The sequence below is a fragment of the Homo sapiens genome, chromosome 10 (genome assembly GCF_000001405.40).
Source record: "Homo sapiens chromosome 10, GRCh38.p14 Primary Assembly".
NCBI lineage: Eukaryota > Metazoa > Chordata > Mammalia > Primates > Hominidae > Homo > Homo sapiens.
Genome location: NC_000010.11, coordinates 120,490,286 through 120,506,302, shown reverse-complemented (window position 1 = coordinate 120,506,302; position 16,017 = coordinate 120,490,286). Strand labels below are relative to the sequence as shown.

At 44.5% G+C, this 16,017-nt stretch overlaps 1 protein-coding gene across 14 annotated transcripts in view, besides 2 other annotated features; it reads right to left on the bottom strand.

The window, feature by feature from the left end:
* The window catches only part of PLPP4 (phospholipid phosphatase 4), a 135,112-nt gene that overhangs the window by 85,763 nt on the left and 33,332 nt on the right, over positions 1 to 16,017 (bottom strand). For 11 of the 14 annotated variants that reach the window (NR_134516.1, XM_011539444.4, NM_001030059.3 and 8 more), the window contains one exon: positions 2,377 to 2,485. Coding sequence is in view for 10 of the 14 variants with exons in the window: in XM_011539444.4 (XP_011537746.1) it covers positions 2,377 to 2,485 (109 nt within the window). In the remaining 4 variants the exon portion in view is untranslated. Of the gene's footprint in view, positions 1 to 2,376; positions 2,486 to 16,017 lie in introns of those variants that run through there. The other 3 variants (XM_017015821.3, XM_047424710.1, XM_017015822.2) reach the window with 2 other exon arrangements.
* Positions 1,296 to 2,495: an enhancer, noted in NCBI's record as "MED14-independent group 3 enhancer chr10:122263320-122264519 (GRCh37/hg19 assembly coordinates)". NCBI's record gives its function as "activates an origin of replication core promoter dependent on BRD2, BRD4, P300/CBP and CDK7 cofactors, and independent of MED14, by STARR-seq in HCT116 cells {active_cell/tissue: HCT116}" and the evidence as "EXISTENCE:reporter gene assay evidence [ECO:0000049][PMID:35650434]".
* Positions 1,666 to 1,895: an enhancer, noted in NCBI's record as "active region_4134". NCBI's record gives its function as "activates an Ori minimal core promoter by ATAC-STARR-seq in GM12878 lymphoblastoid cells {active_cell/tissue: GM12878}" and the evidence as "EXISTENCE:reporter gene assay evidence [ECO:0000049][PMID:35858748]".

Genomic DNA, 16,017 nt, shown 5'->3' with positions numbered 1-16,017 from the left:
ATTATAAATGTATCTACTGCTTTCCTTATGTTATTATGGAATTGTACTAAATCGTGTGACCAAATGAATGAAATTTATCAACTGCTATTAATGAAATAAAAGGTTGAACTTATTTCATTAGAATAGAGGGTATGAATCAGTATGTGTAGCTGAATATCCTTCTGTTCTCTGAGAACCCCAGCACTGAATAAGCCCTCTACTGACTAATTTCTACCACCGCCAGCATGCAAATTGCTCCATCGTATTTACGTCTGTAGCCAGAATATTTGTGGCATTTGTATCTAGACTTCAAAACAATCCATTGTTCATAAATCTAGGACACAGCCACAGATTTCTCACAACATCCCATATGAACATTCATCTCCAAATTGTGTTTTTACAACACATGAAATGTAAAATGTTATGAAAAATAGGAGTAACTGATAAATAGAAGCTTCTCCCTATTAAAGCCATTGAGTAAACTCATTACACACACACTGCTTCCTTTATATCTAGGATTTATAGAATATTTGAGTTACAGCAGAAATGAAAAAAGGCTGATTTTAGTAGTCATGTGTTAGTAATTCCCTACTCACAACCACCCTAATTTGTCAATTTCCCTAAGATTTATAAAAATCCAGTTTACTTTCCAGTAGAAAAGTAATTATTAAGAAGCAATTAAAATAATACTTTAATGCTCGCTGGCATTATGGGCATTTCCAAGAGTTTGCAAAAACACAGATCTTTCCAATCATCACTAATTAACAAAATTTCCTCTGTAAAATCAGAGGGATTTCTTTCAAAATACAAAAATGTTCCCGGTGTGTCTATGAAGTTTCTGGAGCAGTTCCCAGAGAGGCACAAGACACCATGGCAGGTCAACAGGAATAACCTTCAAACTGCTGGGAGGCTGCCCATCCAAAAGTGACATTATCGTTCCATAACAAAGAGGAGCTTAAATATTTCCTCTGTTCTAGAAAGGTTTGATGGTAATCCTCCAATTCTCCAGGGCTTCATTAGCATCAGCAAGGAGTCCCAGACACTCTGCCCCCAACCCTCAGGGCAGCCTCTTGGCTGAGAGCTGAGCTCCAAGAGCTGGCCGCTAGAACCTGGTGCTGTGCTCACTAGCTGTGTGACCTTGGGCAAGTTCCCTCATCTCTCTTGGAATGCAGTTTTGCATCTGTGAAATGTGGACAATAATGACATCTTCCTCACTGGGATGCTGGGTGGAATTAAATTAGACCACCATTTCTTAAGCTCTCCGCAAAAAGCCTGGCATATAGGCAGTGAAATGTAAAAGGTTACAACTGCCATGTGGCAATTGCCATGTGGCATTGAGGGTGGGAGAGGTAAAATTTATCTCAATATATTCACCAGCTCTATGGGTGCTTGCCCATTTATTCTAGAAGGAGAGAGACACAAGACACTCTCAAGAGGTTGAAGCACAGGGTAGTCTTATTAGTGGCCAAAAACTGACCAGCTAAAACCAGAACAGAGGTTTAAACAGAGCTATCTGGGTACCTTCATTTGGCAGAATCAAGGCTTATCCTAAAAAGAGAGGGGACAGAAAATTCTCATCACTGGCTTCTAGTCTTCCTTTACTGTAACTCAGCATAGCCCAGACAAACAAGTCCTCTCTCATTCCACAATACTGGGCAATGACTTGTAGAAAGTAGAAAAGTTCCTCTTCAAAGCTCGTCTTAGTTTAAAAATAAAATAGGCACTAGGAATAATAGCTTCTTACTCTAAAGCCTCCTATCAACTGTTAGTTCTTACACTTTAGCCCAGTTAGTTGCTTTGGCTTACTCAGGCATGTCTAGACAGGCCGAGGCAAATCTTAGCTTATAGCTTATGCCCCTTCCTTATTTGGAAATGTTATTGCTTCTTTAAATCTTTCATAAGCAACTTCCTCTTTTCCTTTGTTCTCCCTTGCCTTTACCTATTTAAGAAAGTTTTCAGCTGTTAGCCAATCGGGTATTAGTTTAGACTGTGAGGTCTGGCTCCAGCCAATGGAGACGGGACACAGTAGCAGGGACAAGCTGCATAAGGGATAAAAATTGCCTCCCTCCTTTGTTCAAGCATGTTCCCGCCATTGTTCCATCTGCGATGAGCACCCTTTCTCCAGAAAGTAAAAATGGCCTTGCTGAGAGAATTAAATTTATGTTTGAGTGCTATTTCTTTGTGGTACCAGGGAATGAGCATTTCTAACAGACTACTTCTCACATGACCAAGCAGTTCTTATCATGACATGGAACTGGATTTTAATTTGATGGGCTGCTCTCCTTCTCTTTCTCTCAGGCCACCCACTGTCTTCAGGGTTAGAAAAACAAAGATGAAAACCCATTTGGTTCATCTTTGAGAGAGCAGTCAAATAAGGAATGAAATCATGGTACTTACAAACATGAGGCGGGTAGGTATGTTATCTGATTGCACCAAAGGATTTTTATAGAGCCAGATCTCTTCTGGCTGGATGACTCTCTGGAACGGATCCAAAAACTCTGTAAAACTGAAACATAAAAAGAAAAGTACATGAAGGTTGAGCGTTCTGTTGCTGTGGGAAGTTCCCAAGGAGGCCCCCCTTCTATGCACCCTCAGGGTGGGAATCCAGCCTGCTGGGGAAGGGGAAAGAGACAGGCCCTGCTGTCAGTTCTCAGCTGGTTCAAAGGCTTGGGAAGGACTGAAAGAATCACTGAGACTTTGCAGACTCTTCCATCACTACCTGCCAGAAGGACCAATTCCATGCATAAGGGAGTAGCTTTGTGTGTACAAAGACTCCAAGGACTTGGGGTTCCAAAGTAAACTGGAAACTGAAGTCAGAATAGGGCAAGGCCAGGGCAGCAGCATGGTCTCTTGAAAACAAAATGGGTTTGAGGTGGAACATAAGGGAGGGAGTAACTGGCACAGCTGCCCGTGTGCTGTCTTCATCGGTTGGTCAATGAAAAGCAGTCACTGCCAAGAGAAAAACTGGGGGGAAGAAAGGGGCAGAGATGCAGGGGTTTGCTTTTTCAGATCTCAGCCATCAGGCCACCTCCCAGCTCTCCAGCCAATCTTTACCTGAGGAACTAAGTTCAGCACCACTTCAGATGCAGTTGGAGAGGGCAAAAGAAGCCAAGTCATTTGGGGCTGTGAGTGCCAGGCTAGAGGACTTTGATTTTGAGCCAAGGAGAGGTTTGGCAGAGGAGCATGGAATGAGAATTCCAATTCAAAATGGCGGCCCTGGCCATGGTGAGGATGGGACTCAGAGGAGAGAAGAGAAGGCAAAGTGGGAGGTGCTGGGGTTGCGGCAGCTGTCCCTACAAGAGAGACTAGCAGATTGGGGAGGAAATGGATGGCATGGAGAACCTGTGGGCAGGAGTGGCTGAAGCTGATTCCTAGGCTTCTGGTTTGGGCTTCTGGGAAAAGGAGTTCCATGATCCAAGATGAGGAGCGCAGGGGAGCGGGAGAGGAGGAGAAAGCTGAGCTTCTCCTAGGAAACCCTCTAAGGTGGCCAGCTGTCTTGGTTTGTCCATAACTTTTCCAGTTTTAGCACCAAAAGTCCTATATCCCAGGAAACCCCTCAGTCTTGAGCAAACCAGAACAGTTGGTCACCCTAAAGCCGTCCCAGTCTCCAGACAGAATCAGGAGTCCCACAGCCCCGCTTTCTATCCCAGATTTGGGACGTTGTATGAGCATGTGCTGTTTGCAGCTTCAGCTCCCCTGTGAGGGTGTGAGGGCAGGAGCCACTCCAGGGCTGTCACTGTAGAGTGTCACTCTGGAGGGCAGGAGACACTCCAGAGCCCAGTAGCACTGCTGGGCCACTGTAGGCACTCAGAGACCACAGAAGTTAACATCTATTTGGGACTTTGAACAGGTGACACTGAAACTATTCTCACTTTGATCAGCCTGACTCTCAATTCTATTGCATATCTAAGAGACCTAAAATCCACCCATCTGCTGTGTCTCTCTCCCTGTCTCTCCCTCCCTCCTTCTCTTCCCCCTTCTCTCCCTGCCTCCCCTAACTCTGAGGTTTTAAGTCCTAAAAGTCTGTGTATTTATGTAATTTCAAAAAGCAGTGGTACCCATGACTGTTCTGCTCAGCACTGGGCCCCCAGCGCCTCTGCCTGGTACACAGGCATCGCTTGTAGCTATTTGCCAGATGACTGAATGGACTCCTGCAGTGCCATCATCACAGAACCCAGTCAACCCTTCACCAGCCCTAAATCTGGAGCACTTCTATTACAGAATCCCTATTGCATCCCCTCACTGGGGTGCAAGTCACTTCTGCTATCAGCCCTCCAAAATTCCTCTAGAGCAGCATGGAGGAGCACCCTCTCTGGGCATCAGCTCTCTGCCCTGGTCTCTGCCCCAGCTGCTCTCTGCCCCTCTGCTCTCTGCCCCAGCTCACCAACTGAGCTACTCCATGCTGTGGAGCAAGCTGCTTCCCCACCCAGGGCCTCTGCAATGGGGGAGGCTGAACTAAATCAGAGACTTCAATTTGAGAAGGGTCAGAACCTTCTAGAAAACACCCTACCACAGACCTAAGACTCCAAGTGAACATTGTCTGGTAATGTGGATTTTAAAACACTCCCCTAGGTGGCCCTGATGGGCCAGGAGTCCCCAGCATTGAACTAAATGATACCTAAGGGTCCCAAACCCTTGGATCCAAGGACAGGACATCCTGTAATTTAACTCTTCTCATTAACAACTCTTCCAGCCACTGCAGGACAGGCTCTAGAGTCAGGTCCAGCAACGTTCAAATCCAAGCTCTGGCTATGTGGCACATAATGAGTCATTTAACATTTTCTGAGCCTCAGTTTCTTCATCTCTAAAATAGACACACCTTACAGAGTTGGAATGAAAGTTAAACAATGAAATATATATGTAGGGCCTGACAGAAGAGAAACAAAAATTAGAATTGTATTACTATTATCATTTTACTCTAGCCTAAAGCTGCATATTTTTACTAGACAGTTTTCGGTCTTTGTTTGATTTTGTGACAACCTACTCCCTGCTCCCAAGTGTTTTTAAGACATGAAATGAAATGAAATAAATTTTGCTTGAAGGATGTTTTTAAGAATATGTAGTGTATCTCTGATAACTAAAGCTTCAGAATACTCCAGTTTCTGTAGCTACGTAACAAATTACTTCAAAACATTTTATTTTGCTCATGAATTTGTGGATCAGGAAATTGAGAGGGGCTCATCGCCTAGGTAGTTCCTACTTAGAATCTCTCATGTGGGCACAGTCAATGGCTGTCCACTGACCAGGCTGTTAGCTGGAACCCTGGCAGGAGCTGGAACCCCTGCTATTATTTTTCTTATAACAGGACACAGTCTCTCCCCTCTTACCTCAACTTCCTATTCTGGGGGTGGGGGGAATCAGTGATACTGGAGATGACTAGTTGCTGTGTTATGGATTTGATTTGCATTTGGCTATAAAACAATCTTGTTGGGAAAAGTGTGGGGGAGAGAACCTCTTCCCACACACACATTGAGACAGATCCTAACTGGTCAATGATCTTGTTTGTAAGAAAGAGATTCGGTTGGTTGAGTGCCCAAAGAGAAAGGTGGATTGCCTTCGGATTATACCAGCTTAGCTAGCATTGCTAACCAACTGTTGCAAGCTCTGAAAATAAAGGATCTGGAACCCCACCCCACCCCCCCACCCCCAGAAAAACCCTTCCTCTCTAGCACTGTGGGCTCAGGGTGGTCAGAATTATTCATAGCTACTGGCTTCCCCCACAGCAGGTATCCCAGAACAAGGCAGAAGCTCAGTGGCTTTTTCCAACCTAGTCTCAGAAGTTGTGGGGTGTCATCTCCAGTTAGAAGTGAGTCCTAAGCTCAGTCTAGATTCCAGGGAGGGGAAATGACTCCACCCATTGACTGGGTAGTGGCAAGTTCTTACTATAGAAAAGCAGGTGGATGAGGGATATGGCTGCAGCCACCTCTGAAATATATTCTGCCACCCACAGGGTGCGATTGACACTGTGATGGCCACACACCCCCACTCTGTGAGACCCCAGAACCTTGACTCCTATTTCTTCTCACACAACCGGCCACAGGGCAATGGGACCAGGTACACCACAGAGCACCTTCCTTCCTCGTCTTGTTTGTCTTTCAGGTTTTATTATCCTCGTGGCAATTTTTCTAAAGACTGGTGCACCCAGGCTTTTGCACAATCCCTCACTCTACCCTGAGTAGCTGCAGCCAGAACACATCTATCAAGCAAATTATATCCTCTGGGAGTAGCAGTACTAAGAAAGATTGATGTCCCTTCTCCAGCCATGCTCCAGCCACTGGCGTCTGTCTCAAAGCATGCAGACAGTGGAGCTAATATGCAGAGGACCAAGGTCTTAATAAAGCTTAAGGATCTTAACAGGGACAGAGGTGGGCACATAGTGGAATGGAAAGTCCTGGAGACATTAAAGGTGTTCCCAAGAGAGGACATGCCCAGGCCTGGAAACATCCTCCCACAAGCTCTTTGGAAGTGGTTTGGAAGTGGTTTGGAATCCAAGAAATGGGAACCCTGCTTCTAGGGAAGGTGTGAAGGTGTGGTCTCCAGCAGTGTGTTAGGTCGGCGGTTCCCAAACTTTAATATGTCCAGGGATCACTTGGGAGTGTTGTGACTGCAGATACAGAGACAGCAGGTTCAGAAAAGACCTTAGAGCTAGCATTTCCAGCAAGCTTCCTGGGGGGCCCACGCTGCCGATCTGTAGATCAAACCTTGAGTCACAAGGGGCCAGGGCAGCAGCATCATGTGGGATCTTGTTAAAAATGGAGAATCTCCAGCCCCACCCCAGACCTAGTGGATCAGAGTCTGCATTTAACATGATCCCCAGGGGATCTTCTCCATGACTGTGGTAGAAGGTGGGTCACATCCATGTATTACATTGGTGCAAAAGTAATTGTGGTTGTTGCCATTTAAAAAAAAAAAAAAGCATGGCAAAAACCCCAATTACCTTTGCACCAACCCAATACAATCTGAATCTAAACTCACCTCACAAAGCCATTAAAATCATCTCAAGCACCACTTGTGTCATGGGGGAGAAAAAAATATAGAAAACAAAATGAAAAGGCACAGCAACCTGAAGCCATTCAGCGTAGAGGACTATAGCCCTGCCAGCCTTAGTAGCTTGCAAGTGTCAGTATATTCCTGGCCAGCATAATGACAGACGTCCTTGAGTTTTTCAAGAAAAGGCTAAAGAAATTGCAGCAACTCTTTAACCAGTAGAAGGTGGGTAAAACCATTTAGTTTACTTTTACTTCCAATAAAAACAGAACGGCTAAAAACATCTTAATGTCCAGAAGGCTCAGACAGATCCAAGGATGCAGAGTGCCTTTGGGGATGAGGGTCAGGCCTGTTGTTCTCACTGTGACAGCCTTTCCCCATCTCTGCAAAGCCTTCATTAAGAATAGAAGTGATTTTGGGAGGCCAAGGCAGGTGGATCACATGAGGCAAGGAGTTTGAGACCAGCCTGGCCAACATGGCGAAACCCCTTCTGTACTAAAAACAAAAAATTAGCTGGGTGTGGTGGTGCGTGCCTGCAATCCCAGCTACTTGGAAGACTGAGGTACGAGAATTGCTTGAACCCAGGAGGTGGAGGTTGCAGTGAGCTGAGATCATACCACTGCACTCCAGCCTGGGTGACAGAGTGAGACTCCATCTCAAAAAAAAAAGAAAAAAAAAAAAAGAATAGAAGAGCTGGTGTGTCTATGTACATAACTCAGGGCCCTCTGTACTGAAATCATGTGGATAATACCACTAGTTATCCATTGTATCATTGCATCTCACAATTTATTTAAGAGTAGAGTAAGACTCCTAAAACTTCATTAGGTTTGATGACCAAAAATAAACCGCCTTACATGAGTAGGAGGCATGGAACTCTAACAGATTACAAGGTATCATTTATGAATCATTTCAAAGGAAAAAATGCTATTTAATGACACTGTATAGGTGTGAATGCAATATTTTCTTCATTGTTATCAATAAACTCTAATTCAGCAGCAGTGCCAGTCTCACCTCAAAATCATGGACTTCCCCCATTACAAGCATTCATGAATTGTTAACTATGATCAACATCATTTCACTTAATAGGGATTCAAACTAAAAATAAAATGTCTAGACTGCGTAGGTCAAATGTTACTACATTGAAAAGCAAAGTTACTACTACAGTAAACGTATTATTTTCTTTAATGATAATTTTAACTGCCCAAAGTCAGATAAATTGTTGTTGGATTTTAATCCAAGACATACTACTATTTCTTTCCTGTTTAAATTGGACAGTTATCTTTTTTTTTTCTTTTTTGAGACAGAGTCTCGCTCTGTCACCCAGGCTGGAGTGCAGTGGTGCGATCTCTGCTCACTGCAAGCTCCGCCTCCCAGGTTCACGCCATTCTCCTGCCTCAGGCTCCCGAGTAGCTGAGACTACAGGCGCTGGCCACCACGCCTGGCTAATTTTTTGTATTTTTAGTAGAGACGGGGTTTCACCATGTTAGCCAGGATGGTCTCGATCCCCTGACCTCGTGATCTGCCTGCCTCAGCCTCCCAAAGTGCTGGGATTACAGGTGTGAGCCGCCGCCCCTGGCCGGACAGTTATCTTGATATATTTGTATCTTAATTTCTCCTGGGCAAAGTGGGGGCAGTTATATATATTTTCTCCTTAATTTTCTCATGATATAGTTTGAAGACCTTAAAACACATTCACTCAGCACCATAAGACAGGGCAAGAAAAAAAAATTCATGAAGAAAATTCAAAGATGTAATTCTAACTTTATGCCAAGCAATTTTCTCTTTAGTTTGTGCATTGTTCATGTGTGGTTCAGATGTTTAAATCTTCCTTAAAGCTTATAATTATATATACATACACACAAAATGCACACACACACCCCACACACATAAACACACACTTGTGTGTGCACACACATACACACTGCCTGAAATTAAGTGAGTGGAAGGCAAGCAAAAGGATGTAATTATTTAAGATGCAGGGATAATCCACTCAAATTAACCAAAATGGAAAAGAGGTAAAGGAGAATCTGATATTGACTAAGAATGAAAAGCAGGAAGAAAACTAAAGTTGGAGTGATCTGAAAGCGAAATATAACAGAAAACCACACACCCCTCCCCTTTAGGCAAACCGTGGCTGCCAGTGGCTCTTTCACTGCTAAATCACAAAAGCACCACCGACTACCTTTTTTTGGTCACCTGAATCTTCACCTACAAGCAGCAGATGCAATTCCAGAGGCACACGTGGCATCACTGGGGGCTCTCCAGGCCTTTAACCGCCTTGGCATCAAATTAAAATATGGTCCTACCCCCTAGGAGGATCCCCAGACTAGGGCTAGATGGGGCAGCATCTAGACTCATGACAGATAAAAACTACACTCACATATGCTCACCTGCACATACACACACACACACACACACACACACTCACACATTCTCTCTCTCTCTCTCCCTATTCCTTTCTCTCTCTCTCTCTCTCACTCCCATGCTCTTGTTGGTTAATTCTGTTTCCATAGCTCAACATGACTTAAAGACCCCAGGATATGTGTCTTGTTATATAGAAAGGACACAGGAGGGGACAGAGAGTGGACTATCATCTTTGCCAAATTTTTCTTCATTCAACAAATATTTACTGAGTGTCCATGATGTGCCAGGTACTGTCCTATAACACTGGTGAATACAAATATGGTCCCAACTCTTATGGAGATTACAGATTGTATAATCTGGGTCACAACAGATCGTGGAATTGGGTGTTGAGGTTTTTGCTTGTACGCATCAGAACACATGAGCTTGCCACTGCACTCTGCTTTAAGAAGATGTCTAGATTGGAGTGCCCCAGTAGTTGGTCTCATGAAATAGCCTCCCACCCAGAGCCACCTGTGAGGACCCTGGTCCTCTAGGGATGTTCCAAGGTATGTATCTATCACAGTTCATATGCCAAATGTGGCAACAGGTGCAGCCCAAAGTTGGGAATCCAAAGGAATGGCTGATATTGACATCACACCAGCAGAAACAGCAAGTCCATGACAAGGGACAGTGATGCCACTCTCCCCCTGGCTCTCTTCTAATTCAAAGTCAAGTGCCCAAAGCCCCAGAGGATCCCTATAAGCTTCTAAAAGATTTCATGGATTTGCCAATGCCCTTAGCCCATGTGCCTGGATGACAGGCCTTTTTCAAGATAGGTTAAGACTCCAGGGGGCTTTAAAGTCAAGTACTAGGATGACAGACTTCATCATCCTTTTTCCCAACTATAAATAACAAAAGATTATACTGAAATATAAACCAGATCAGATCATTAGACTTAGTCCAAATCCCTGCTTTGGTGTTTGCTGGCAGGGTAGCTTGAAAAAAGTCACTTGACCTCTCTGAGGCTACATATCTTCCTCCCGTCCCCCAGGATGCTGCCATACCTTCCAAGGCCATTGTGAATATTCTGTTCAGTAATAAGTTAGGGTCCAGCATAGCACCTGGGGCACTGAAGGCCTCCACAAACAGTGGCTGTTTATCTTACAAATGTGAATATGCTGGGTCTGAGAAGGCTGCCCCACCTTCTTTAAGCCCCACCCGAGGGTAGTGAGGTTGTGTGTTGGGAAAAGGGAGCAGATAGAAGAATGGCAACAAAACTCTGCATCATTTGGTTATTCTGTGAACAAACAATGGCCCAGAAAGTCACTTTCAACCCCTGAGATCTGAAGAAAAAAAAATAGTAACACTTGAAGACACATGATAAACAAAAAACATTTTCCAGGTGAGAGCCGAAAGGAAAGCATATTTCCTCACTGCACTATTGATTTTTCCTCCCTAGTCAGCCTCTCTCTCGGGCAATGGGGAAAAGCTCTTATAAACAGGCATCCGATGTGGTCAGCAGAAAAGGCAGGCCACTCCACTCTTGGCAGGAAGGAGGCCTATCAGATTATTCATTAGTCCTGGGAACAAGGGGTGGGTGTGGTTATAGGGAGAACATGTTGATGGATTATCTCTGTAAGCCTGTGGGCCAGCAAACTGCCCTCAGACAGGTCTTTACTCTGAATTGGAGTAGTTGGCTATCCCCCAAAACAAAGCTAACAATTAGAATAATAATCATAGTTAGTTATGATATTGCAGACATCTCATGCCAAGCCCTTCACTTGCTGCTTTCCAACAGGACTTCACCCTCATAAGAACACTATGAGGCAGGAATTACCATTATTCCTATTTTAGAAATGAGTGCACTGAAGCTACAAGATGTCAGATGTCTTGCCTAAGTCTATACGGCACGGAGTGCACTCTTCCTCCGTACATGCACTGGACTTTTAAGGAAGTCAAGCAACACAGCCATACACAATACACACATACAACACACACATACATGCTTTCCCCACCAGCTCAATGGCATCTGCAATTATTTTAATAAGACACAGATTTTTCCCCAATTAGAGATACAGAGATATGACCTTACTTGGGAAATGCAACATGTCGATCTCCAGTCTCACTCAGTGTGGACAACTGAGATCAGATTTTTGCAGAGCAAAGTTTGATGTTTGTTGGAAAGAGGGGAAAGAAAGAATGCACAGGGAAGGAGGTGGAAAAAGAAATGAAGACCCCAAGAAGTTGCTCCTACCAACTCTCTTGTACCTATCATCCAAAGAGGGGCTTCCTTTGCAGCAGCTGATTTAATCAAATAATCCACCCCTCACCTGGATAAGGAAGACTGGCATGTAGAGACCAGCCCAGGACTGGACCAGGAACAGCTCCCGGAATTACCACCCCCTCTTGGGGATGGTTCTTCTTGCTCTGTGATAAGCCTCCCAACTCAGATGCAAAGACTGAGGCTTAGCAAGCATAAATGCCCAACCAAGGCAGAGCCGGGAGTCATGTCCTCGTGCCCTCACTCTAAATCTCATGCCCTTTTCAACTGTGGGGGCACAGATTCTGCGGGCAGCTCTCCTGGGTTGGATTTTTATTCTTTCCTTACCAGCCACGTGACCTTGGGCAAGGTGCTTGACTTGTCAGGCCTCAGTTGCCTCATCTCTGAAGTGACGCTGATAATAGCGCCTACCTCAGAGGGTTGGTGTAAGGATTAAATGAATTAATTCATATGAAGTGCTTATGAGGATGAGTACACATAGTGAATGAATAATAAGGGTGTTAAATTTGAGCAGTGTAAAGTCTAAAATTGAGGCCCAATGTTATGTCTTGTTTTGACATCTGAAACCAAAATGCATTCAAATGTCCTAACCACAAGTTCCCCTCCCTACTCTGCTTTCACAAATAAGGTCCTGTAGCCAAACAACATTTCTTATTGATATGACCAGGCACAGTTTCTGCTTATCTCAGAATAGTGAGTCTCAGCTTCCTGCTAGCTCGTGGAATTATTCAATAAGTCAATTACATCCTCCTGCCACTACCAGGGACCACCCCACCCTCCTGATACACTACAAAGCCTGCCTCCCATAGTCCCTGGCTGTTCACTCTGTTCCTTGTGTCCCTGCATGGCGTGCAGTGTACTCCTCCCCTGGGCTGTGAGTATATGTGGGGAGTAAGCTGCCGTTGATCTCATCTGCCCAGTGTTGAGTGTCATGTATGACCATCCTCATAACCCTAGGGCAGGAATCCCTCCCTCGACGAGAACGTGTATAAGAGACAATGAAAACACGTACTCTACTGCTGTACCCTCCTAAACACACTGGGGTAGGATGGGGGGGGATTGGTGAGTGGACAGTGTGGAAATGTGTGGCCCAAGCCTGGAGATGTCATCCATCTATCCAGCTCCCAGGGCATGGAAGGCAGCGGGACTGGCAGAGAGAGGACCAGAACAGGCCGTGCGGGTAAAGCAAAGCTCCCAATGCAAAGCCTCTGCCTGCTCATGCTGACTCTTCTTCAGCTTTTAGAAAAATGACCCTAACTTGCATTCTTTACCTGTGGCCCCTGACACTGGAACCACAGACCCTTTCTCCTGTGCCCTCAACACAAGGAGACAGGACGGCCATGGCATCCCACTGAGCATTCTTCCCAAACATGCATACTCCGGATCTCATCAAACCCTTAGACCCAACAGGGGAAGAGGAACAAGTCAAACACCCTCAATGAACAATTAGGTGAACCCACGAATAAAGTTAGAATAAAGCTAAATGTTCCAGATTACAAGAGCCCGAAGAGACAAAACAATCAAAAATGAAACATATGTGCTCTGACCAGGTCTTGGGTCAAAACAAACCAAAAGCTATTAAAAAGAAACACTGAGGATGATTGGGGAAATTGTGGGATTAGAGAATGAATTAGATTTTAGGTGACAGTAAGGAAGTATACTAATTTTCTTCAGTGCAGTAATGACATGGATATGTAGAAGAATGCCCTCTTTGTAGGAGAAGCAGCTGAAACATTTAGGGGGGTTTAGGAACCTCAGGTATCAGTAAGTTACTTTCAGGTAGTTCAGAAAAATACATATATGAACAATAAACAGAGATATCCAACCAATATGATTACATGTTAACAATTGCTATATCTAGGTAGAGCATATAGGGGATCATTCTACTCTTTCAACCTTTCTAAATATTTGGAATTTTTCAGGATAAAATGTTGGCATAGAAAGGTCCAGAAGCAGGACCTTAAAAGTGGGGAAATAGCAAGGAAGATAGTGTTGCTCTGAAAGTACAAGGGCTGGCAGCCAGAGCTGTGGAGTTGAAACCCCTGCATCCTGCCTTTGCCTCTTACTCATGGTGTGATTTGGGCAAGGCATATGTCCCCTCCGAGCCCTCTTCTGTAAATGGAGATAACTGCCACTATCTCAGCAGCTGTGGGGAGGAATAAACAGTGAGGTAATGCAGAATGGACGTAAAGAGCCAGGCTGTTCTGTGCTTCCCTTCCTGCAGGAGTTGTCTTCAGCAGCAACAGGATATTGAAAACCACTTCTGCCTCATAATAAAAATAGCAAAACACATTCAAACATGGCTGCTATGGGGCATGGTGTAAACGTAAGCATATTTGGCAGCAACACAATGTGCAGAAACCACATGCATCACCCCAGAAGTCCAAATGTTTAGTGCAACTATTTTCAAACCTTTCTACAGAAGGTGCCTTTCCTTTGGGAGTAAACAACAGAAGACTGAAAATATTTTCATTGTCTGAACACAAACAGAAAATCCTGGTCTACGTAAACCTGGGTGCAGCAGCTGACAGAGCAGGATCCAGTCGAGGCCTCATAACCTGGGTCAAGCAGTTAAGTTGCCCTGCTCATCTATAAAATGGGCAGAGCACTCTGTTAGGAGGTGGTGAAGATTTGAGATAATTGTCAAGATCTCACAAGAGGCACTCAGCAACTGGCATTAATAGTAGTACTAATTACCAAAGAATTCTAAATGAAAAACAAATTATTTCCAAAAATTTGTATACCAAATATGTGTGGACCTTATTTGGATCCTGATTCAAAGAAATTATTATTAATTTCATCAGGTATTACAATAGTAATGGGAGATCACTTGGGTTTTTTTGTTTGCTTGTATGTTTGTTGTTGGGTTTTGTTGTTGTTGGGTTTTGTTGTTGTTGTTCTTAGAGATTAAAATTCCATATCAAAGTATATACAGACATGATGCCATATCTAGGATCTGCTTTAAAAGACTTCACCAAAAAAGGGAGAGAGGGAAGCAGATGAAATAAAAGTGCTGATAATTGGTGGAGGGTATTTAAAAATTTTCACATCAAGAAGTTCTGTAAAACAACTTTGCCCATTGGCCATTGAGATGCTACAAAATTAGGTGTTTTACCAACTAAAGAAACAGCCTATTATTGGGAAATATTTAGCTTCATCTAGATTTCAGTGAAGACAATGGGAAGAATAATGAGAAAAATTAGAAAGTAAAAGGAAGGGCAGGATAGGAAATATCAGAAAGAGAAAGAAAGAGAACTGGAAAGAGGTTGGGTCAGTCACAAAATGAGTCACCTTCAAAATGCTCAGGTTAAAGGTGCTGGTGCCCTGGAGCCTGGGGCACTGAGGAGCCCTCTCCCTGGCTCGGATGTGGCCCTGAATGCCTCCAAAAGCAGCTGCTTAATAACTTTGAGTGATGAGGTACTGGCGAAAGTGAACATCACAGTGGCAGGTGACTTGGGGCAGAACGAGGCCAGTAAGCTTGTGACCCAGGGAAATCTGCAGAATTCACCTCCTACTGGCTTCCTGGGCAACCCAGAGCTCAGATGCACCTTAGCACAAGCCAGGTCCCCTCACCCAGCAGGGCCAGCAGCCCAGAGACCTCCAGAACTCGGCTCCTGTCTTGGCCAAATAAATTTCCCAATGGGAAAGCAGTCTGGGACAGTCTGTATACCCCGCACCAGGACACAGCAAGACTCTAGGACATAACCCTGAGCAGAGATAGGGGCTCGAGGACAGGAAAGAATGCTACTCATCACTCAGGGGAAAACACAGTGAAAAACAGAACTTAGTTTGAAGGTGCTTTTGAGCTGCCATTTTCATTAAAACACAATATACAGAGAGCGTGTTTTCCTAAATAGGGGACTGTGAGGTGTCTTTGAGATTTTCCTTCCTTGTAATGTCATCTGAGTTCCCCTGGCTCCAGTGAGCAGCAGCACAGGTGGCATCAGGCCTTTCTGCTGCTCCCTCGAGATCTCACCCCAGTCCTTGGCAGAAATCAGCACAGTCCTGACCTGACACCCATGACCATTTCTCTGACCTACTGTTCCCCCATGGAGGAACAAGGCTGTGTTCTAGAATGGTCTGGCAGGTGAGAGGAATCAGATGTGTAAGATGAAACAGCCACAAATACAGCCCATGATTAGAAGAGAGGCTGAGGGCAGGCATCCAGGACAGGGCTGCAAACATGTGAGCATTCAATGAGGCTCTGGAATGCAGCTTCCCACAGCATGTCTATCTGCTCAGTGGCTGAGCTCTGGAGAACTCGGGGGCTTCCTCCCACCCTAAGGAATGGCAGGGGCTGTTTTTTAAGCAGATAAGGAGCCCTCATTTTTGTCCCAAAAGTTTTTGCTCACAGTGGATATCAATAAATGTTTTCATGGCCACCTGTACTGCAAACTCTGAACTTCTCAATTCAAATGCAAATGGAG